At 39.6% G+C, this 2360-nt stretch overlaps 1 annotated feature.

The window, feature by feature from the left end:
* Positions 1438 to 1638: a silencer, noted in NCBI's record as "peak5686 fragment used in MPRA reporter construct". NCBI's record gives its function as "represses an SCP1 promoter by STARR-seq MPRAs in K562 erythroleukemia cells {active_cell/tissue: K562}" and the evidence as "EXISTENCE:reporter gene assay evidence [ECO:0000049][PMID:32103011]".

Genomic DNA, 2360 nt, shown 5'->3' with positions numbered 1-2360 from the left:
ATCACCCCAAATTGGTGTGTAGAACTAAGGAAATCCCAATTAAAATCCCAACAGACTTTATTTTTATAAACGTGACAACCTAATTTTAAAATGTATATGGAAATGCAAAGAAACTAGAGTAGCCCAAGCAATTTTAAAAAAGAAATTAAAGAACTTACTACCTGATTTCAAGACTTCCTGTTAAGCTATAGTAATCAAAATAGTGTTGTATTGGTATCAAGATAGGCATAGAAATCAACGGAACAGAATAGAGACTCTAGAAATAAAATACATACACATTTAACCAGTAGATTTCTGACAAAGATGCCAAGGCAATTCAATGGGGTAAAGACAATCTTTCCAGCAAATGATTCTGAAAGAATTGTAGTGTCATTTACCTAAAAAAAAAAAAAAAGAACCCTCAATCTTTATCTCACAGTATACACTAAATTTGACTCAAAATGAATCCTTAAATGTAAGAGCCAAAACTATAAAATTTCTGAAGGAATACAATAGATAGGAGAATTTAGTGATCTTGAGTTTGGCAAAGATTTCTTTAAAAGACATACAGAATGCTTAACCCAGCCGTGGTGGCTCACACCTGTAATCCCAGCTCTTTGGAAGGCCGAGGCAGGAGGATCACTTGAGCCCAGGAGTTGGAGGCTACAGTGAGCTGTGATTGTGCCACTGAACTTTAGCCTGGGTGACAGAGCAACACTCCATCTCTAAAAACAAAAAAAGAAAAGAATCTTATAGAATGTCTAGATGCATCACGTGATTTTTAGGAATGAGAGCTTCTACAGAAACTTTTAGGCAACAAAGGAAAAAATACATATTTTTTTAAATTGGCTTAAATATGTGTACTTTTAAATTTGTTTCTATATAGCCTGGTCCACTGGACTATTAGGAAAGCTCCCAGAGCTGGGAATAAAAAAGGAATTTCTCCCTCTTACCTGCCCAAAATTTTCAGCAACCAGCCATGTGTATTTTATGAACATTAACATTGACCCTCCCAATCTTAATGTTTTAGGAAGCTGTATTGGTCAGGATCCCATAAGAAGACAGAAACCACCCCAGTTAGCTTAACAGAGAGAAAGTAGTATCAGGAATTGCTGGCCAGATATGGAACAACTAAAAAGGCAATGAAGGAACAGTAAGGTATCTCAGAGATGCCTTACCACATCCATAGGACACAGCTATCCCCACTAGAACTGAGGAACTAAAGAAAAAGGTTGGAATTATTGAAACTGACAGTCTTGAAGAATGGGTCCCTACAGACTGGAATTCAGACCTCTGAAGAGCGACTGTTGCCCAGATAATGCTGGTGCTTCAGAAATCTGGAAGAGGGTCCTCAGGAGCTGAGACCCAGACCTATGAGGAAGGGAGGGGGTTTCCTGTTCACTGAGGCCACATCTCTAGGAGTGCATGATAAGGCTGGTTCTCTACATTTTAGTAAGTCAGCAAATTGGAATCATGCTGCTTCTGGAGGGAACTGCTGCTGGCAAGTGAAGTAGCATAGCTAAGGTGACTCTGAAGCAAAGAGAAAAGAGAGCACCTTGTCTTCCCCCTCCAACCCCACAGTCTCTCTCTAGTGCCCAATTAGCAGAGCCTAAAGGAACCAACCAATAAAGAGAAAGGTTTGCAGAGTGCCTGCATCACAAAACAGGATATGGAACTATAGGTTCAAAGCTGAGAGACACTAGCTTAACAAATAACACATTGGAAACACTTAAATTCCAACTGTTTTTCTCAACATAAGACATAGTTTGATGTGTTGTAGTTTACATACATATGATTATGGTAACATGTATCATTCATGATTGCCTCCCTCCTTCTATTCATGCTTATCTCCATAAACGTGAAGACGTTTATCCCCAAAATCCATTTGGAATGCCTCTCATGGAGTATATTTATCAAATAAACTATTAATTAAATAACAGCAGCAAAAAGTTGCATGCTATTAGATTCAAACTTTTTTTTTTGACACAGGGTCTTGCTCAGTTGTCCAGTGGTGTGACCATGCCTCACTGCAGCCTTGACTTTCTGAGCTCAAGTAATCCTCTCAGCTCAGCCTCCCAAGTAGCTGGGACTACAGGTGTGCACCACCACACCTGGCTAATTTTTGCATTTTTTGTGTGGACAGGGTTTCACCATGTTGCTTCAGCTGGTCTCAAACTCCTGGACTCAAGTGATTCACCAGCCTAGGCCTCCCAAAGTGCTGAGATTACAGGTGTACACCACTGTGCCTGGCCAGATTGAAACTTTAAGACCTAGCAAAGCAAAACCTTGTCTGAGGAATTGATGAGAGTTAGCACGGATTATTTATTCTGGAGGAATTTTAAGATGTTCACTCTTCTGGTCCACATGTAATGGTAGCTAAA

This window comes from Homo sapiens, chromosome 6 (genome assembly GCF_000001405.40).
Source record: "Homo sapiens chromosome 6, GRCh38.p14 Primary Assembly".
NCBI lineage: Eukaryota > Metazoa > Chordata > Mammalia > Primates > Hominidae > Homo > Homo sapiens.
This window is presented reverse-complemented; position numbering and strand designations above follow the sequence as displayed.